Source organism: Homo sapiens, chromosome 5, assembly GCF_000001405.40.
Source record: "Homo sapiens chromosome 5, GRCh38.p14 Primary Assembly".
Classification (NCBI taxonomy): Eukaryota; Metazoa; Chordata; class Mammalia; order Primates; family Hominidae; genus Homo; species Homo sapiens.
Window position 1 is genome coordinate 143,806,595 of NC_000005.10, and position 22,583 is coordinate 143,829,177.

Below are 22,583 nucleotides of genomic sequence, written 5' to 3' on the forward strand. Positions count from 1 at the left end.
GCTCATCTTTAGTGCAATCAATTCTCAGCTACCTGCTTGTGTGTGCTCTGGCCTGCCTCCCTTGGGTGCTTCCTTTCTTCCTACTCACCCAACTCTCCCTCCCACTTGGGAAAGTCCTTCTGTTGTGTACAGGGGATATTTTTAAAGCCATGTACCGGAACTTCAATGCTGCTGGGAAATTCCTCCAAACGGCTTTATTTGTAAGAGAAGTATGCTGCATGCTGGTTTTTTCAGTATTTCATTACAGACCACAGATGGAGGAGTGCCTCCTAGGGTAGGTCACATGGAGCCTCTGGATTCTGCATCTATGACCTTTCTCTGTGGGTCCCAGATACCTTATTTCCCTCCTCTCTTCCATCTCTTCCAGCCTGCAGCTTCTGCTTCTTTCAAGCACATTGGCTCAAAGGTCTCACTATCTTTGGAGAAAAATGAAACTGAATCCCTTCCTAATACTATACATGCAGGTGAAGTCAGATGTGTTGAAATGTAAAAGATAAATTGAGAAATATAATAGGAGAAAATGTAGGACAGTATCTTTGTTAACTCGGGTGGAAAAAATTTATTAAACAGAACATCAAAAGCACAACCATACATTTTAAAAAAGATTAATATGATTACTTTAAAAGTAGGAATTTTGGTTCAATGAAAGGCAAAGATAGCAGGCAGATGAGAAAATTGAAAAAGAATTAATCATATCTAAAATTGACAAGAAACTCTTACACATTATTTAGGAAAATATATAATATCAAAAATTCTTAAGCATCAACAAGGAAAAGACAGAAACCCTAGAAGTGCAGACAACGGGTAGGAACAGGCAATCTATAGAGGAGTGCTTTGAAAAGACCCAGAAGCATTGAAGAGATGCTCAAAATCATCTGCTAATAGACAAATGCAAATGCAAATAATTATGATATATCACTTGACTGGAAAAAAAATTGAAAGCAAGATCATTTCAAGAGCTGGCAAACATATGGGGCTGGAAGACTCTCAGGTGTTCTGCTGTTGCTGACTGAGGAGCCATCTGGGGGAGTAATCTGGCAGTAATTAGTCAAACTAAGTATACATAATTGTATAACCTAGCAATTCTATCCCAGGTATGTACACCAGATAAATTCTCACACAGATCCAGAGGGGGCCACGTACAAGGTTGTGAACTGCAATTTAATTTCTGGTGGCAAGGAGCAGGAGGCACCCTGGCTGTCCCTCACTGAGAAAGCAGGTGGATACAAAGTGATGGATGTGACCACCCTGCAGTTAGAGACCATGAATTAGATGTTTGTGTAGAAACACGGAGGGGCCATACAACATAGTGGAGGTGGAAGAAGAAATAGAATTAGTTATAATCCAGTATCATTGCTGTAAATCTGAAATACACACACATGCACAAAATATCATCATATCCATTTTGCACATAAAAATATACACATTAAACACATTTATTTAGAATGATGTGGGAGGGGGGCAATGAAAGACAGAAATGGGGGTTAAGGGGAATAAATAAGCACAATAGAGGAACCTCCATGGACCACTGATGACATTGCGCCATGAACCAAAGAGTGTTATTAACTCAAGCCTCTGTTCCTGAGAGCCAGAGTAAACAAAACAAAACAAATGTGCTCCGTTGAAACTTTCAAGCTTCCTCCAAAGGGGCCTGTCAAATTGGGGATATCCTACCTGCCCTCAGTTATCCCCTCTTAGGTCCTGAAAAATGCTAAACCTGGCCTAGACCACTGAAAGGGTTGATGACGTTTCTGTGTTTCCTCTCTATCCTGTTGGGGTATTATCCATGATATTGTGATTTTCAATATGTTATATTAACCTCTATATGGTATACATCTCTTGCCACCTACTTATATTTAGGGTTCATGATTCTAAGTCCCACATATGTGGGTGTCCATGACAAAATTCCAATCTTAGATGATACTTTTTGCTGTTCTCTCTTTTTCTAATAGCAAATAATTTTCATGATAGTAAACAGCAAATCGAATAGCAAAACTTAAATGCCCATCACTAAGAGACTGGTTAAATAATTATGATACATCCTTACAATAGACTATGCAGCCACAAAAACAAATGAAGAAGGTTTTAAGGCACCAATATAGAATTAACTTGTAGACATAGAAGTAAGTGAAAAAAAAGAGCGTGGAAAATCATGGGGATAATATGCTACAATTTACAAGCTTGTATATCTCAAGCATCTCTGAAAGAATATATAAGAAACTAATATTGGTTGCCCTAAAGGAAGAGACCCAGGTGACTCTGGACAGAGATAGAAGGAGATTTTCTGTACGTTTATACCTTTTGAACTTTTGGATTATGTGACTGCATGAACTGTTTTAAATTAATATGTAAAAATCAATAAATTTGGGAAAGGGGTTAGGGAGATGTTGGTCAAAATAAACAAGAAAAGATAAAAGAGGAGGACCAAATTAAAAATATAAAATAAAATCTACCAATAAAATTTATAAATTTATAATAGTCAAGGATTAAAAGTTTTCAGAATATTATATCATATATATGTAGATACAGAATAAGCAAACAGATTAAAATGATTATAACTATGCCCGCTATTGGTAGGTATAAAGTGATGCTGAATTTTAACAACTTAATTTAAAATCTTTAATTTTAAAAATTAATTTAAAATTAAATAATTTAAAATTTTAAAAGGTTTACAGTAGGTTTAAAAGTGGTGCTGAATTTTAAAAATAACCATGTATGTCAGAACTTATACACCATGTAAAGAATAACCTGTTTAAGGTCACCTTAAGAGGTAATACACTTACTTAAATGTAGCTGCTACTGCTGAACCTATTCTGGATTTCTCTAATATAGGGTTTTAAAATTTGGGGTCCATGGAGTCTGTGGATAAGATTCAGAGGCCTGTAAATCTGGGCAGGAAAAATTATATCTTTCTTTGTACTAACCTCTTTATGAAAGTTAAAGTTTCCTGGCCAGGCGCGGTAGCTCAAGCCTGTAATCCCAGCACTTTGGGAGGCCGAGGCAGGCGGATCACAAGGGCAGGAGATTAAGACCATCCTGGCTAACATGGTGAAACCCCGTCTCCACTAAAAATACAAAAAATTAGCCGGGCGTGGTGGCGGGTGCCTGTAGTCCCAGCTACTCAGGAGGCTGAGGCAGGAGAATGGCATGAACCCAGGAGGTGGAGCTTGCAGTGAGCCGAGATTGTGCCACTGCACTCCAGCCTGGGCGACAGAGCAAGACTCCGTCTCAAAAAAAAAAAAAAAAAGGAAAAATAGAAAGTTAAAGTTTCCTTTAATTATGAAAGCAATAGTAATACCTAAATTTTTGTTACCAGTGAAAATTCTGAGTCTAATTTAATTCTGTTATTTTCATAACACATTTTAGTTTTTGCAGATATCTGTAAATATCATTCCCAGGTTGATATTAGACATTTTTAGATCTTCTTATTTAATATGTTATTAAAGAAGAAAATATGTTACTATGTCACAATTTTTAACATTTTGATAACTGTATTCAATATAATTGGCTCTTTATAATTCTATATATTTTCTTTTATACTTATAAAAATGATGATTCTGAGACAGAGTCCAGGGGCCTTACCAGAGTGCATAAGCTTCCCAAAGCACAGAAAGTTAGACCTCCACACCTCCACAAATAGATCTAATTTCAGGGCAAGAAAAGCAGTGATGATGCTTTATGACCATATGTTCTTTTTGACAAAAAAGCAGTCTTTAACAGTTTTGGCTAATTGCAAAAAGCCAATGCATTCTCAAAGGAAAAAGATATGCCAACACTGAAGATACTTTTGAGAAAATTCCATCATCAAAGAAGATGGTTTTTGTTTTTTACAGACCCAGTCTTTCTCTGTCATCCAGGTTGGGGTGCATTATTGGAGTGATCATGGCTTACTGCAGCCTCAAACTCCTGGGCTCAATTGATCCTCTGGCCTCAGCCTCCTGAGTAACTGAGGCTACATGTATGCACCACCGTGCCTGGCTAATTTTTTATTTTTTATTTATTATTTTTTTTTGTGTGGGGATGAGGTCTATGTTGACCAGGCTGGTTTCAAACTCCTGGGCTCAAGCGATCCTGCTGCCTTGGCCTCCCAAAGTGCTGGGAATTACAGGTGTGAGCCACAGTGCCTGGCTAAGATGGAGTTTTATATACAGAATTATCAGGCCTTCTTTCATATCTCATCCTCAATATGCAAATAACTAATTCATTTAGCAAATATTTATTGAACGTCCATTATGTATGAGGCACTATTGTAAGTATTGGAATAAGTGCAGTGAACAGGTCAGATATGGTAACTGCCTGGATGGAGTTTATGTTATAATGGAAGCAAATAGACACAAGAAATATGATCGCATCAGGTATTTATAAGTGTTATGGTGAAAATAATGCAGAGTAATCTAATCTAGGGAGTGAGAGGGTGACTAGGGTCACCCATGTGGTGGCTAGGTGCCTGGGTCTGGCGTTGCACTTCTTCCATTCAAATCCTGGCTCCATGCACCTCTGGCTCTATGGCCTTGTCCAGTTGTGCACTCTCTAAATCCCAGTTTTGTTACCTGTAAAATGGACATATTAACATTACCTACTTTAAAGAGGTGTTTTAAAGAAAATGGCTACTCCTAACATCTCCCCAAGAACCAAGCACAGAATTTTGGAAGTTTTAATATATTTTCTTAAAGAAGTCTCTTTCTCAGCATTGTAAGACAATTAACTAGATTCAAGTCTCAGAGTTGTTAAGTTATTTTATCTTAAGGCATCCAACGGCACAGATTGACATTAAAGTGAAAGAAGAACTAGCTTCATCATTGCCATTGTTCTTTACCATAGCCCATGGGAACACAGGACCCGGCTGACTGAGAAAAGTGAATGAGGGGAATTATATCAGAAATGACAGAGAAGGATGGGCAGGATTTCTGGCAGGCACAGGTATTTCTAAGTAAGAAATGGTGTGGTTAGGAGAGAATACTCTCAAGAAGGGGAGAGATGGATTCTGCGGCAAAGGGAGGTTCCTTCATTCAGTGTTTATGGAGAGAATAAAGGCGCTGGCCCCTCCAGTGAGGATATGGAGTAAACGAGACAATCAAGTCCATCACTCCTGGAGCCTGCATTCTAGTGTGGAAGACAGACAGCAAATGATACATCAACATTAAGAAATTCATGAGTAAATAAAGATAATTTCAGGCAATAATAATTACTCTGAAGAACATAAACAGGGACCTATGATAGAAAAGGGGTGTAAAGGAGTTTGGAGGATTTAAGCTGAGTGAGCAATCTCATCTCTATTTTGATAAGGTCACTGTGGATTCTGTGTGGATAACACATTGGATGTGGATAAGAACAGGAGCAGAGAGACCTCCAATAGCAGGAGGCTGCTCTAGGGGTCCTTGCAAGGGATGCTGGCAGCTTGGACCCGAGTGGTGGGATGCAGATGGAAGAGGCAGGTGGACAGATGAGACAGCTGAAGCAGGAAAAGCAGGCACAAAGGCTAACACAACACAATGTAACAGAACGGGAGTTTAGAACGGAAGGAACACTCCAGAGTCATTCTGGTCCAATTCTGCAGATGAGGAAACCACATCCCAGGAGGCCGAGGCGGCTTGCCCCGCATCTCAGAAGCCGGGCAGGCCCTGAGCCTTCTGACCTCACATCCTCTGCCACACCACAGTGGAGAAACCAGAACTGGAGGAGCAGCCAGAATGCAGAGAAGAAAAAAGAGGTGAGGGAGCGAGGAGGAGGGAGAACAGAGAGAGAGGGAAAGAGGCAGCGAAGGGGCAGAGAAAATGAAAGAAAATGCTGGTGGAATGAGAGGGAAACCACAACAGGTGAAAACAGGGATGGCGGAAGGCAGGGGAGAGGAGTGAGACGGCCCTTGTTGCTGGGATTATTTAGGGCGGATAGTTTCCAGTTGAGGTTCGGTTTCATAGCCCATTGCCTGGCTGCCTGCAGCTGTCAGGGCACCAGAGGCAGCAGTTGGAGCAGCTGCCTGCACCACCTGAGCCACAAGGACAACGGCAAGGGAAGTGCAGATGGGCAGGAAGTCCCTCTGGGTCGGAGCCAGGGTAGCCAAGATCACATTGTTCTTGCCCACCGCGTGGGATGCTCAGGCTTCCCAAGGCAGCCCAGAGACCAGACCCGTCCTTTATCCTTAGCATGGCCACCATCATCACCATCATCGCCATGCTCCCACTTCTTAGGATCATGTGCCGGGGGCTTTGCATGCATTTCTCTCTTTCATCCTCACAGAAGCACTTGAGGGGGGTATAGCTTTCCCCAGTTTACAGATAAAGACACGATGGCTTCATTCCTTAACTCACTAACCTCATTTCAGAGCCAGGAAATGGCAGAAAGGCCCTGCTGTCGTGTTTTTTGTTTGTTTGTTTGTTTTTTTGTCTTGTTTTCTCCTCTTGAAGAGGACACACGGAGCCCTGGGTTGACGTTATAGGAGGTGTTGGTGCCGTGCACTGAAGGGATCTGCTGTTTTCTCCTTCCTGCAACTGGAGGTCACTCAGCCTGGACTGATGAGGCCGGGGAAGCCTGTGCTCTGTCTGGTCCACACAGCCCCCTCAGCCACCCCAGGGAATGCTCAGATCCAGTTGCACAGGTAGCCCACAGAATACAAACAGAACTTTCTTTTAGAATTTTTATGCTGTTTTATTGTTTCATACAGACAACTACCGACCTTCCCTTTTTTCCTTCAAGGCCCCTTTCAAATGTCACCTCTTCTATGAAGGTTTTATTTCTTTCCAGGCAAAATAAACCACTCCCTTTTTGGTGCCCTCATAGTTTTACATTTTGGCCTAAAGCACTTGTTCGCCTCCTCCATCAGAGCATGGGATTCTTGAGGGAAGGAACTGTGTTTTAATCATTTCTGTATCCTTGGCATCTAGCACAGTGCTTGGCACAGTAAAAGCTGTCAATAAATGTTAGCTGAACTGAAAAGTAAAAAATGGAAAGGGCATTTGTTGGGGCCAGCATAAGTCAACTGTTTCCATCCTTGTTTCCTTAACTCAGAAACTCAAATGAAGAAAGACATTGTCAGTCTCATGAGCAGTCCATATTTTTTTTTATTGGTGAGAGATAAAGTAAATGGCATGTGGATTTCCTTTGGAAGAATAACAAATAAAATTCTTTTGTAAGGATGTGAATTATAAAATTAACTTTTTTTATCTCCAGATTGTCATTTTGCAAGGAAAAAAATATAAGTAATAAATATGAACATACCTTTTTTATTTCAGACTTTTGCTCCATAGGCAATAGAAATGAGATGGCCAATTACAGTATTGAAGCAGAAGTACAGATATAACTCAGTGCAGAGGCAAATATGGCACATGATATTTTCATATTTTTATGTGTTACTATGAGTAACACTATTGCAAATTCATTTTATTTATGATTTGGTCTTTGTAGCTCCAATTTCATTATTAACTGAAATTTCATAGCATCATTCTTACTGACATGCATTGAAGATAAAAATGTTCTATATTTTCCTCATCTATCCTTGTCTTTTTCTTTATTAAAAATGTAGCCATTGGCAAAATAAAAGAACTAGCAATAAGCATACTGAAATCACAACTGAGACACATGACAATAATCTATAACCATGACACCTGTCCAGGCTGCATCCAGCCAAATATGGATCCAAAAAAAGGAATACTCATATTTGTTACTTATATTTTTTTCCTTGCAAAATAACAATTTGGAGATAACAAAAAGTTAATTTTATAACTCATATCCTTATAAAATACTTTTATTTGTTATTCTTTGTCTCTCGTCAATAGAAAAAAATATGGACCGCTCATGAAATTGACAATGTCTTTCTTTATTTGAGTTTTTGAGTTAAGGAATAAGGATGGAAACAGTTGACTTACACTGGCCCCAACAAATGCTCTTTCCATTTTTTGCGTTTCAGTTCATAGTAGGAGCTCACTCAGGACTTAGCTGTCAGAGAGAGGACAGTCTGAGGCCTATGTGCACTTCCCAGCACAACATCTCACATCCTCCTCATTTTTTATCACTCAAGATATTGAAAAACTAATATGCAAGGATGCTGTCATTATAGGGGTAATCTTCAATCGTCTCTAATTATATTTAAAATTATGTCATAAACTTCAGAAAGTAACCAGTATTAGTGTATACCTTATTATTAGCATAATCCAAGCTGGCCTCACCTACAAATAGAGTCATAATTATAAAAATTTTATCTTTTAGTCTCCTACTTTCTCAAAATGGAATTTGTCCCCACTAAAAGTTATCCTTCAAAGTAGTGCTTCACCTGTGCCCACAAATACCTGTGGCTATTGCACAAATATTGTGTGGCTTCTACCAGGTTTTCTTCCTGACCTAGCTCTCATTTGTTGATATTTGTTATCCCGTCAAACCTTTCTGTTGCTCAGCTTTGCAGCATGGATGGTGCAAAAATGCAAATGTTGCTCTGTCTGATACTGTTCCCAAAGCTGGCAAATTGTAGGATGTCACCATGGGGCAAGCTCCATGAATGAAGGGATTAGGGGTGAAGAGAAGAGAGAACTGACCTTTCTAACAAAGTTCAGAGACCTAAATTACTGAACTTTTCCCTAATTCTGTATTAGTTTCCTATTGTTGCTATACTGAATTACCACAAATTTAGTAGTTTAAATCTGCACAATTCATTATCTTACAGTTAAGAGGACAGAAATCCAATCAGGGCCTTATTTGGCTATAGTCAAGGTGTCAGTGGGGCTGTGGTTTTAGCTGAAGGCTCTTAGGGAGAATCCTTTTCCTTTCCTTTTCCAACTTACAGATTTACCTGCATTCCATTGCTCATGGTCCCATCTTCCGTCTTTAAAGCTAACAATGTTGCAGCTCTCTAACCTTTTTTCAAAGTAATGTATCCCTTTAACTTTCCTGTTTTGCTTCCCTCTTCTACTTTTTACTTTTTCTTTTTTCCTTGTATTTTTTTCTTTTTTTTTTTTGAGATGCAGTCTCGCTCTGTCGCCCAGGCTGGATTTGGAGTGCAGTGGCGCAATCTTGGCTCACTGCAACCTCCACATTTCGGGTTCAAGTGATTCTCCTGCTTCAGCCTCCTAAGTAGCTGGGATTACAGGTGAGCGCCACCATGCCTGGCTAATTTTTGTATTTTTTTTTTTTTTTGAGACGGAGTCTCGCTCTGTCGCCCAGGCCGGACTGCGGACTGCAGTGGCGCAATCTCGGCTCACTGCAAGCTCCGCTTCCCGGGTTCACGCCATTCTCCTGCCTCAGCCTCCCGAGTAGCTGGGACTACAGGCGCCCGCTACCGCACCCGGCTAATTTTTTGTATTTTTAGTAGAGACGGGGTTTCACCTTGTTAGCCAGGATGGTCTCGATCTCCTGACCTCATGATCCACCCGCCTCGGCCTCCCAAAGTGCTGGGATTACAGGCGTGAGCCGCTGTGCCCAGCCCTCTTTTCCACTTTTAAGGGCCCTTTTATTACATTAAGCTTTCTCAGATAACCCAAAAGAATCTCCCTATTTTAAGGTCACCTGATTAGCAATCTAAATTCCATCTGCAAACTTAATTATCCTTTGCCATAGTTCTGAGGATTATGACATGAGCATCTTGGGGGAGAATATTATTCTGCTACCAAGAATATATTTTTTAAATATTCTCATTTCCATAGGTTATTGTGGAGTAGGTGGTGTTTGGTTACATGAGTCAGTTCTTTAGTGGTGATTTCTGAGATTTTGGTGCACTCATCACATGAGCTGTATACATTGCATCCTATTTGTAGTCTTTTATCCCTCACTCCCTTCCCACCCTTTCCCCCTGAGTCCCCAAAGTCCACTGTGTCATTATTATGCCTTTGCGTCCTCACAGCTTAGCTCTCACTTATGAGTGAGAATATATGATATTTGGTTTTCCATTCCTGAGTTACTTCACTTAGAGTAATACTCTCCATTCTCATCCAGGTCACTGTGGATGCCATTAATTAATTCCTTTTTATGGCTGAGTAGTATTCCATTGTATATATATACCACAGTTTCTTTATCCACTCATTGATTAATGGGCATTCGTATTGGTTCCATGATTTTGCACGTGCAAATTATGCTGCTATAAACATGTGTGTGCAAGTATCTTTTTCGCATAATGACTTCTTTTCCTCTGGGTTGATACCCAGTAGTGGGATTGCTGGATCAAATGGTAGCTCTACTTTTAGTTCTTTAAAGAATCTTCACACTGTTTTCCATAATGGTTGTACAAGTTTACATTCCCACCAGCAGTGTAAAAGTGTTCCCCGTTCACTGCATCCATGCCAGCATCTACTGTGCTTTGATTTTTTGATTATAGCCATTCTTGCAGAGTAAGATGGTATTGCACTGTGGTTTTGATTTGCATTTCCTTGATCATTAGTGATGCTCAGTGTTTTTTCATATGTTTGTTGGCCATTTGTATATCTTCTTCTGAGAATTGTCTATTCATGTCCTTAGCCCACTTTTTGATGGGATTTTTTTCTTCCTTGCTGATTTGTTTGAGTTTGTTGTAGATTCTGGATATTAGTCCTTAGTCCTTTGTCACATGTATAGATTGTGAAGATTTTTTTCTCACTCTGTCAGTCATCTGTTTACTCTGCTGTTTCTTTTGCTGCGTAAAAGCTCTTTAGTTTAATTAAGTCCCAGCTATTTATCTTTGTTTTTATTGCCTTTGCTTTTGGGTTCTTGGCCATGAAATCCTTGCCTAAGCCAATGTCTAGAAGGGTTTTCCCAATGTTCTCTTCTAGAATTTTTATAGTTTCAGGTCTTAGATTTGAGTCCTTAATCCATCTTGAGTTGATTTTTGTATATGGTGAGAGATGGGGATCCAGTTTCATTCTCCTACACGTGGCTAGCCAATTATCCCACCACCATTTGTTGACAAGGGTGTCCTTTCCCCACTTTATGTTTTTGTTTGCTCTGTCAAATATCAGTTGGCTGTAAGTATTTGGGTTTATTTCTGGTTCTCTATTCTGTTCCATTGGTCTATGTGCCTATTTTTATACCAGTACCATGCTGTTTTGGTGACTATGTCTCATAGTATAGTTTGAAATCAGGTAATGTGATGCCTCCAGATTTGTTCTTTTTGCTTATCTTGGTTTGGCTATGCGGGCTCTTTTTTGGATCCATATGAATTTTAGAATTGTTTTTTCCTAATTGTGTGAAGAATGATGGTGGTATTTTGATGGGGATGGTGTTGAATTTGTAGATTGCTTTTGGCAGTATGGTCATTTTCACAATATTGATTTGCAGTAGCATCCAAAGATATCAAATACCTAGAAATAAATTAGTAAATGCAATGCAAAAATTCTAGGCTGAAAACTACAAAACTGCTGAAAGAAATTAAAGGAGACCTTTGAAAATGTGGAAAAGTATATTATATTCATGGATTAGAAGGCTCAATATTAAGACAGCAATATCCCCAAACTGATCAATAGATTCAATGCAATTCCAATACAAATACCAGCTGGATTTTTATCAGAAATTGACAAGTTAATTCTCTAATGTGCAAAGAAGCATTCAAGGTAGGACACATTAGTCATTTGTGGCAAATATTCATGCAATTCTGTTCAAAAAATTATTGAACTTCTATATTATTCCAATAGGCATAGTAAAAGAGGAAACAGAAGCATAACAAAGTGGTAAGACAGCCCTGGGTTTAAATCTTAACTCTTTGCCCATGACCTTTACACATCCACCAGAACTTATAGAATTCTTTAGGGGAAGGGTAGGGTAGGGATGAAGGATGGGTAAAATTTGAAAGGACATCAAAGCTTAGATCTAACTCACCCACCTCCACCCCTACTCAAAGTACTGGATAAAGAAACACTGTTCTAAATAATTTTTTAAAGTGATACTATACTATTAAGTTGGAAGGGACCTTAAATAGTATTATATTTACCCAAGGCCTAAATAGAGTGAAGTGCTTTGCTCAAAGTTACACAAGTATCAAAGTGACTATTATTTATCACAGTCAGACCAGAGCCCAAGCCCAATAGCCCAAATGTGGATACAAATTCCAGATCTTCCACCAGCCAGCTATGCAGCCTATAGTTAAACCTCTGAAATTTGGAACTCTTCCTTGAAAACATGGGGAGAAATAACATCTTTTTAAAGGATACTTTATGGAGTAATAAGATAATTTTTAAAGTGTTTAGCCAGTTGCTTGACACATAGCGAGTACTTGCTATTTTTTTTTTCTCTTCCTTTTTTTCTTCCCTGGCTCCTACCCCTAGCTGGTCTCTCCTTAAATATGTACTCCACCACATGCAATGGTTAGACCTTCTGTTGCAAGTACAGAATTCTATTCAGGTTAACATCAGCAAAAGAGGGGAGGTCTGGTACAAGGATAGAGGAGTATCGTGAGGACCTCAAAGTCAACAACTCAGCCAGGCTTTAGGAAATCACCTGAACTAGAAAACATAAAAACAAAAGACCATTCTTTTCTATTTCTTTTCTCTGATTGTCTCTCTATATCCATCCTCCAACTCCCACCTCTCTGTCTCTGTATCTCTCTCAATCTCTCTTTTCTCTGCTTCTCCATGAATGTGGTAACAGAAGATAGGAATTACACAATTCTTGACAGATTTCTTCCACTTACCAGCCAAGACTCACAATATTTTAGTCCCAATACCAAATTCCTGGGAAAGAGAATTTGGTTTGCCACTGGTAGGGAGGAGCATGGAGTCACATAATATACATTAGTTGCCAACACTTAAGCTGAAAAGAGCAGTTATGGGGTTATTGTAAGATGGGCAGAGAACCCTAAAAGTCTACTACAATATCCTGGCAACTTCCTTGTAGATATCTGAGAGGAATCCTTATCCGTATGTGAAAGGCTTTCAGCCTAATACAGTTTAAAAAGGGTCACACCAAGATGGTGAAACCCTGTCTCTTCTAAAAATACAAAAATTAGCCAGGCACGGTGGCAGGAGCCTGTAATCCCAGCTACTCGGGAGGCTGAGGCAGGAGAATCGCTTGAGCTCGGGGGGCGGAGGTTGCAATAAGCCAAGATCGTGCCACTGCACTCCAGCCTGGGCGAGAGAGTGAGACTCTGTCTCAAAAAAAAAAAAAAAAAAGGTGGGGGGCGGTGGGGAGCACAATGGCAATACCCCATGTCTCAGTGTATACATTGAACATTTAGATTTTATCCAGTTCCAAAGCTCCCTGTTGATTTTTTAAATGCCCAGAGTGATGGCAATAGAATAAATTTTCTCTAGTCTCCTTTCTTGGCTTAGTCATGGCAAGGGTGACATCAGATATTCTTGCCCTTACAACCTGGGCTTATGGAAAAACTGTTCTTAAGAGAATAATCTCATTTCACATAGGCTTGGCTCTAAAATAAGGGGCCCCTTTCATGGTTGCTCTGGAAATCTGCCATGAGATATACTATATCAGGAAATATTGGCTTAATGTTTTTCTGCTATTCAACAGTTACTCTCAGAGTTCAGTTATTAGAAACTCTCCTGCTCAGCAGTTTGGTTTTCTGCATGTATACATGATTTTATTTCTAATGAATGAATTCCATATGAGCTAATTATAGAAAATAAGATTTTTTTGCAGAAATTAGCATGGTTCTTTATTAGCAAAACTAATTGCATTTCATTAATTTTCTTCTTAATTAAAACCACTGGTTTTCGTGGGAAATTCAATGAATAACATGCTTTTCTAATGAATGTAAGCTTATGCTATGCAAATACCAAAGCCATGCATTACTACAGGTGCTGCCCCGGCTCATCATAAGTAAAAAAAAAAAAAAAAAAAAAAAAAAAAAAAACAGAACAAAACAAAACTAAAAAGCTAACACAAGTCCTCTTTACTCTGTTTGGAGTTTTATTAATCTAAATAGAAAATACTGCTGAGAAGTTGTAAGCTCAAGTCTCAGCTAAGCCATTCTTTTCTATAGGTTCTCTGCATGTTTGGAAGTCGGAATTGGTTGAAGTTGAAGATGATGTGTATCTGAGGCACAGCTCTTCCCTGACTTATAGGCTTTGACACTGCTGTTGAGGTTTGACTCGAAGCCCAGAGTTTTGGTGTGGATGAGCAGGGACAAATTGCTGAGCATGAAGAAGAGTAAAATTAAGCAAGTGGAACATATGCCCTTTGCCTCTGCTCTGCACAGTGAAATGAAAAGTCAACCTTTGAACATGTGTGTGTGTCTCTCATTTTCCCAAACAGGATCAACCCACCATGATTTATGAATTCACCACTTTCTTAGAGGCTTCCTTTCTTTTTTATTAGATCCTCCTTTGAGAGCATCTAGGGTCCTATCAAAGAGGGAAGTGACTTCAAGCAAATCCACACTCAGACGTGAATTAACAATGGCTACCAAGCACAGAGCCCTTTTCCCTGGCACACTCCTGGGAAACAAGCAGTTACAACACTTGTGGAGAGTAATGTGATAGTATACATTCATTTTTTTTTAAGTAGAAACATTTATATTTAGAAATTTAACCTTTAGTAATGTGTCCCACAGGAATGCTTGCCTGAGTGTACCAGGATTTTTATTGTAGCAGTGTTTCTCAAAGGAAAAACAACAACAGCAACAACCTTAAAAACAAACCTAAGTGTCTATCGCTAGGGAAATAGTTACATAAATTATAGTACATTCATTCATACTATGGGACACTCTGTGGACAATAAAAGGAACGGAGTATACCTATATGTTAGAACATGGGGAAAATGTACATACTACCTGGTTAAATGGAAACAGCATTTTTCATTTATGATTCAATTTTCATAAAATAAATATTGCACACAATAAAAGATGCAGTTGGGAGTCCGAGGCAGGTGGATCACAAGTTCAGGAGATCGAGACCATCCTGGCTAACATGGTGAAACCCCTTCTCTACTAAAAATACAAAAAATTAGCCGGGCGTGGTGGTGGGCGCCTGTAGTCCCAGCTACTTGGGAGACTGAGGCAGGAGAATGGCCAGAACTGGGGAGGCGGAGCTTGCAGCAGTGAGCCGAGATTGCACCACTGCACTCCAGCCTGTGCGACAGAGCGAGACTCCATCTCAAAAAAAAAAAAGAGATGCAGATGAATACACAACTAACTGTTAACAGCAGAAAGTGGGTATGGAATGGTGAGTAGGACTTACACATTGATACTGTTTGAACTTCCTACCATTAGAAGACATCATTTTAAATTAAAAAATTAAAAATAGGTATGGTTGGTTAGAGAATTTCAGTTTGCAGTGATGAAAAACTTCTGGAGATGGATGAAGGTGATGGTTGCATAAGAATGTCACTGAACTGTATACTTAAACATAATTAAAATGGGAAATTTTATGTTATATATAGTTTACCACAATAAAAAAAATGGTGACCTTCACAAGGGCATTTCCATTACATAAGAAGTGAGCAGTGTGTAGCTTAAAGACGAGTTTGGTAAGGGGGCCTGGGCCAGATTGGAAGTCCTTTGAATGCAATACCAATGAATTCGATGTAATAGACCCTCTAGAGTTACAGATGATGTCTTAACAGCATTTAGGATAAGACAAAGGACACCTTTGGCTGTGAGCAGCAGAGGAGGCCTCCATTTGGTGAAATAGATATTGAAGGGAGGTTATTTGTGGTCTCTAATATCATGCCACCATTGTCCCCGTCCCCATCAGTCATAACTTTTTCTTTTGCCCTCATAAAGCTGAGCCTGCCAAGAATAATATGTTTATGTCTTTATATACAGCTGCCTAAACCCATTTATCAACTATTTAAGAGTCTGTATTACATTTCATTTTTTGGCCATTTAATTGTATGGAATTACAACTTTCAAGCTTATACATACCCTATTTGACATAAGAAGTAGTTACTGGTATCTATGAAATAAAAAGAAATAAGAGTCCAAAGCCAACTTAACACTTCCACTACCAAGGTGTATCTTTAAGTAAGGCAATCAATAAGCACTTAGCAAGCTCCTACCATATAAGCCAGGTAGGACACAAAGAAACATAGTAAAGTGCCTAACCTTAAAGGGCTTACCACCTATAAAGGAAATAACCAGTATACAAGGCATTGAATTGAATTGAATTGAATTGAATTGAATTGAATTGAATTGAATTGAATTGAATTGAGCTGGATTGGATTGGATTGGGTTGGATTCTTTGCAATTTCATACAGGGAGCATTTAACACCCACTAAGATATCCCACTGTGCAAGGTAGTATGGGTTTGAAGGAGATAATAAAAATACTAATAAAATATGTTCCCTCTCCCACAAGACTCCCAATTTAGGGGACAGCAGGAAGGAACTAACTAAAATGCAAGTCAAAATGTAATCGTGATATAATAAATTATAAACATAAATTTGCAAGGAGGACTAGCTTCATTCCCTTCGTGTAATGAATGAGCATTTGTAAAGGGGTTGAACATAGGAGCAGACTGAGAGAAGGGAGGGCCATTCAGGTTGAGAGAACAGCATGAGCAAAGGCCTGGAGGAGGGAATGTGCCTGACTGTTCAGAGAACAGAGAGAGGTTCTTGTCATTTAGAGCGTAGCGTACAGGTTGGGGCACAAGACTCTGCGTGAGATAAATTAGGGGAGGGAGAGCAGGGCCAGAGCCTTGGGGCACTTGCGAGGAATCACAGATGCATAGAGTCCAAGGGCTGCCGGAATGTTCAAGAGTGGAGATTTTGTGCACAGGAAGCCATACCCTCTCACCCAGGTTACTGTACCAGCTTTCCATCGTTCCCTCCATTCTGTTTCCACTCAGGCCCTCTCTAATCTATTCCCCACACTGCAACCACAGTGGTCCTTTGGAAACTGCAAATCAGATCAGGTCAGTCTTCTGGTTTCCTTTTCTTTTAGAATAAGTTTGGAATGTTAATATGACCTCTGGTGTTGTGCAGAGCAGGTCTTACACACACACCCCCCAACACCTGCCTGACCTTGTACCAGGACACTCCATTTCTCCCATAATGTTCCAGTCTACCTGACCTGCTCCTCCCTGATCCTAGGCTGCTATGGGGTATCTCTTGTGCTAACTGTAATGCTGGAAAATAGTAGGTGGTCAATACACAGCTGTGGAATGCAGTACGAAAGGTAGGCGTGCATGAAGGAATGAATGGAGTGCCGCTATAAGATTCTTTTCAAGTACCATTGGGCCTTATCATGAAGTGCCTGCAAGAGCAAGAAACTCCCTATTCTGCTTGGAGAGCCAAAGACAAATGGGCACAGGTGGAGGAAGATTCTGAGGTAAAGACAAAGGAAGCTGAGGATGTTCACATGTTTTCTTACATTTACTACAATGTGCATTTAGTATATTTGGGATTGAGGGGAGTAGAAAAGGCCTGACATGGGGACCATGGAGAATAAAACAGGAAGCAAAGAAAGTTCTCCTGAAAGGTCTGCAGAGGAGCTTTGAGGTTTGGTCAGAGAGGATGAGTGGGAAGAAGGTCAGGGCAGTGCTGGGGAAGAGAGGGCAGAGTGCTAGGTAGACTCAGGATTGGTCAGGATGGGCATCATGGAAGGTCAGGGGATTTTAGAGCAGGAACAAGGGTATGGCTGAATTGACCTGCCATGGAGTCCTGAGCAGACAAGAGAATACAGAAAGAGGGATTATACACTGAGGGTGGAGGAAAGGCTGGCTGGAATCCAAAGGAGTGTGAGAGACATGTGTCCATGAGATTGCAATCACAGAGGCGATTCAGAAAGGTCAAGGTCACAGAAGAGAAGACCTGCTCGAGGCAGGGTTGCCCGGTGGCTGCAATAGAGAAGGAGATCACGGGAATCAAGAGCAGGAAATCATTGGTCCAAGAGCTGAGGTCACTAGGGATAATAGCTAACCACTGGACCTTTTTAATGGCATGTATAATTATAATCCCACATGTACTGGTTTACTTGCCATTGTCCATTTTTCACCATACCAAACTAAATTATAAGCCCCTCAAGGGCAAGGATGAAGTATGTTTCTGTGTGATATCCAGTGTCTGTCATAGTAAGAAATATTCATTAAATATTTGGAGAGCAAATGAATGAATGATTGAATGTTTGACTACAGCACACCACTTCTCACGAAAAAGACTTTGTTTATAGCAATTGTGTAGTACCAGTGGAAAAACACTTGAGACTGGGGAGTAGTGAAAACATAGTTTTACCAAGCCGTGAAGCTCTGGATTATATACAGTTGTTTGTATGATACCTAAGTTGTTCTCTCCATTCTGAAAGTGTACGTACTTCAAGGGCAAGAGCCAAATCCTATATAATCCTTATGTAATACTTCCTTTCTATCCACAGAGCAGCCAGCAGAACTCTAGAAAAATAACAAGCAGATGTATACAGCCTGGAGGAGGAGGTTTTATAGTGAAACAGACTTTTATAGAGTTAGAGAAAACTGCCCCATCACTGATCTTCAGTAACTTGTTTCCTCATCTGTAAACTAGGAATAAAAAACAGGATGCAGCACATAGGGTTGATGTAAAGCTTAAGTGAGATAATGCGTATACCCATCTGTCAGTGCCAGGTACATAGCCCTCCATGTAAGACAGCTAAAGATAAAAATACTATTTTATCTGTTTTTTGGACTGTGTAAGCTGCAGTTGGATTTAGGGTTTGTCACTGTTTGTAGCAGCGACATTCTCATGCTCTTCTCAGTACCCTGGCCAAAAGGTTTGCTTCAGCAGCAGTGATTCCAGACCCCAACTCTGCTCTTCTCTGGAAGCAGGTATCTGCACGCTCCCACAGCAGGGGCTGATGACCTCAGGGGCTGATCTGTGCAAGCACAGCTCTATGCTGCCCTCTGGTGGATGTATTTTGGGCTGCCCCTTCCCTGCCATGGACTTGCTGCTGTGCTGACATTAAGGTGCAAAGATAAACTATATGAAGAGCACCTATGAGGAGGTTCTTTGGAGATTACAGGGTAATGAGGGAGGAACGCACTCCACCAATTGTTGTGTTTGGTTCAGCTTCTCAGTTGTACAATCCTACTTCTACCAAGGGAATGGCTATTTCTGCACCAATGAAAAACTCATTACCTCCAAGGGATTTTGGAGGTTAATCAAGGTGGTTCTGAGGCTCTGAGAGGGGCAGCGTCGAGCCTAAGATCACACAGTTAAACGACGACTTTGGCCTCTTAATCTCTGTATTATAACCATTTGCAGACCACTTTCTTTCTGTAAGGAAAAAGTCACAGGGCTCACTGTAAAATGCAAATTATTCTGGAAGGGCATCTGCTTTGCCTCACCTGAGAGTAATCTAAATGGCCATAATAGACCCAGGAGCCATGTTTATGTCTTCTCTTTTCCTCATCTATTACAGCCAATAAATAAGCAGGCTCTTCGGTTTTCCATATCATGTGTCTTATTCGCTGTGCTCCATCTCATCTGCTACTAACTAGCTCCATTCCCTATCTCTTTGTTTGGATGACTACAGTTGTCTCCTAAGGGCTCTCTCTGCTTTTCTCCTCCCAGCTCCTTCACAATCCTCTCTCCTCCCAGCAGCCAAGATGAGCTGATACAAGTCCTGTTTAAAACTCAACACTTCACCCTTGTCTAGACATCCATATGTGATTTCAATCTCATTGTATACCCATGCCCCCTTGGCTCTCCATATTCCAGCCAACCTGAGCCCTCTTCCATCACTCCGACATGGCCAGCCTTTGCCTTTGCACTTGCTGTTCTCTCTGCATGGAATAGTCTTCTCTGCACACTTCTCATGGCTGGCTTTTCCTCTTCTTTCATCTCAGTATAGATGTCTCCTCTTAGAGAGGCCGGCAATGACCACCCTATCTAAAAGAACTCCTTCCCCCAACATTCTCCTTCCCCAATATGGCAGCTCTTGTTATGCGTTTCTATGAATTTCCTTCATAACAGTAATCACTACCCGTCATTATCTTGTTTATTTGCTTAATGCATGTTCTCCATTAGAATATAACTTCCAGGAGGGCAGACTCTTTGCCTTCCCATTGCTGGAGTCTTCTCAGTGTCTGGTACATAACAGATACTCAAAAAAGTGCTTAGTGGAGTGGAAGAGGAGTACTTTATAGCTTGTGGCATTGGCTAACTTTTCATAACCTGGCCCCATCTGTAGCTGCTCCCCTGCCATACCCAGCCACGTAGAACCATCTTGATCAGATCGTTCCCTTATGTTGGTTGACTGAGTGAATGAGCATGTTTAAGGGATTTCATTTTCTCTATAGCATGTCCTGTATGAATGTTGATATATGCATAGACAAAGCTTTATATATTTACACAAAATCACATTCCTTCCTCCATGAAACTTATAATCGTGAATTTGAATTCCTTTCTTTATTCATTGCTGTAAGTCATAGTAACAAGATTTGATTGTACTAAACGCCATCCCATCACATTAATACAAACTTGATATTATGTTTATTTGATGAAGGTTTCCCCTGAAACTAGGCACTCAGGAATTGTTTCCAAGAAAAATAATTGAATAGGGAAAGAGACTGCAGTTGCCATTAAAATTAAAACCAGAAATCATTTCGTGTGTGTTATTCTTCCCTGGTTCCACCTCCAGCAATGACTGGAAACAGGTCCTTAAGGGCAAGTAATAAGAATGAATGTCACAAGAGTCAGAAATAATGAACCAATATCTTGCAGAAACACTACAGCATATGCCAACACAGAAAGAGGGTTGGGTAGGAAAGTGTGTGCATGTGAAAAAATAAACATCCCAGTAAAGAAATACGCAGAACCACGTTGATATATATACACAATGTCAGGTTCCTTTTGACTCAACAACAATAATCTGGTCACACAGAGTGAAACTGCAACCCTATCTGGCCCTTGATGTGGAAGGTGCTGAATCACCTGCCCAGGGGAAACTGCAGACATTTAGCACTTTCAAAGATGAGAATGAGCTAATAAAATTAGAGTCTGGCTCACTAAGCAAACATCACTGTGTGCCAGCCTCTCTTTGGAGCAAACCTGCTTTCTCAAATGCACACCACAATTTACTCTCCATGTACCATTTCCCTTATGTCAGTGAATGCCTTTCTCATGTCTTTGAATGTCTTTCTTGATAGCATACGAAAAATGAAGAGAAGGTGAGTTGAGAGGGGAAGGAGTGGGGAATAATAACATTTAACTAGATTTGTCATCTACTATTTCTATTAATTACCCTGGGGTTTCATCTCCTGGATCTTGTTATCTCTTTAGAGTAAAAAGCATTTAGTTTACTTAGATGATGGCCAAATACTCTTTTTTAAAAAAATACAGTTAGATAGAAAGAATAAGTATTAGTGTTCAAGGGTGACTATAGCTAACAATAATTTACTGCATATTTAAAAATAGCTAGAAAAGATTTGGAATGTTCCCAACACAAAGAAATGATACATGTTTGAGGTGATGGATATCCCAGTTGCCCTTATTATTACATATTATATGCATGTATCAAAATACCACAGGTACTCAATATACATATACAATTATTGCATATAAATAACAAATATTAGAAAAATACTTTTTTGTCCTCAAATACTTTGACCTTTTTTTCATTTACATAGCTGCTACTCAATATGTGAAAAATTTATGCTTTCTAATTTAAGATTTGAATACTCTAGGAAAACCAGTGTCAAAGATAATTTTGCAGCAGGGAGCGGGGACTAACAATGAAATCAAGATTAGTAATCCCAAGACCTAACATGCTGAATAAATTTAATGAAGAATTTGAAAGAAGGATTTTTATCAAAATACACATCAGGCAAGCCAGCGACAGTTAACCAGATGACCTGACTTTCCTCTTCAAGAATGCTGGATCACAGAAACTTTATTTGCTGTGGTCTGTGTTTGTTGCAGAAAGAATCTAAGAAGTAAAGATGGGACTCCGTTTCAGATGATGAAGCTCTAAAATGACTTCAGTTGACGGGTAAAGCCCATGACCTCTGGCCTCAGCAGGTTTCAGAGAACAGGCAGATGGGTGATAATACTCAGAAAGGCATCCATTTATCAGTGAGTTTTCCTTCTAAGCTACATCCCACACAGCAGCTTTGTGAATGCCTTCATCCCACACCTCAGCAATTTTGAACCAGAACAAGTTTCCGTAAAGGGTAAGGATGATCTGTATAAAATGGTCTGTGTAAGAATGATCTGCATAAGAAATGAAAAGAGCAGGTGTGTTCAAGGAGTCAGACCTCTTAGACTCTAAGCACCCCCCTCTCTCATAATACCTTGTAACTTTGGAGACATTCTTTAATCTGGTTAAACCTCCATTTTCTTGGTTATAGCATGCAAATAACTAATTCCTGCTGGATCTCTATCTCGGTGGTTGTGAAGTTCAAGTGAAACTGAAAGCTGTGTGAAAACTATAAAGGCCTACAATAGATAAGACAGCATGAGACGAGTGTGGTGCTGATAATGTTGATGGGTCACAGGCATGGGTACTCAAGTTCCTGCCCAAAACCGCATGAAGGAGTGGGTTAGGGGAGCCAGTCACCTCACATCACTGGAGAACAGGCAAGGGTCTTTGGCCTCAGTTATAGCACTTAGTAGGTACTCAAGCCCAAGGGAACAAGTTTTCATGCAAGTGTCAACACAGCCACCATGAATTGCTCAGAGCAGGACATAAATCAGGTGATTTAGCCCCTCCAAGCCTTGTTTACTCTTAGAGAAAATGAGGAAATCAGGCTAAATGGCAGTGGAGTGACACA

The 22,583-nt window shown here is 40.1% G+C and overlaps 1 protein-coding gene across 1 annotated transcript, besides 2 other annotated features; it reads left to right on the forward strand.

Annotated features, from left to right (window-relative positions):
- Positions 171 to 240: an enhancer, noted in NCBI's record as "active region_23354". NCBI's record gives its function as "activates an Ori minimal core promoter by ATAC-STARR-seq in GM12878 lymphoblastoid cells {active_cell/tissue: GM12878}" and the evidence as "EXISTENCE:reporter gene assay evidence [ECO:0000049][PMID:35858748]".
- HMHB1 (histocompatibility minor HB-1) lies at positions 5,567 to 14,122 on the forward strand. Its single transcript, NM_021182.3, has 2 exons — positions 5,567 to 5,710; positions 13,886 to 14,122. The coding sequence occupies exons 1-2, from the start codon at positions 5,674 to 5,676 to the stop codon at positions 13,972 to 13,974; spliced, it is 126 nt and encodes a 41-aa protein (NP_067005.1). The 5' UTR covers positions 5,567 to 5,673; the 3' UTR covers positions 13,975 to 14,122.
- Positions 18,647 to 18,786: a silencer, noted in NCBI's record as "silent region_16486". NCBI's record gives its function as "represses an Ori minimal core promoter by ATAC-STARR-seq in GM12878 lymphoblastoid cells {active_cell/tissue: GM12878}" and the evidence as "EXISTENCE:reporter gene assay evidence [ECO:0000049][PMID:35858748]".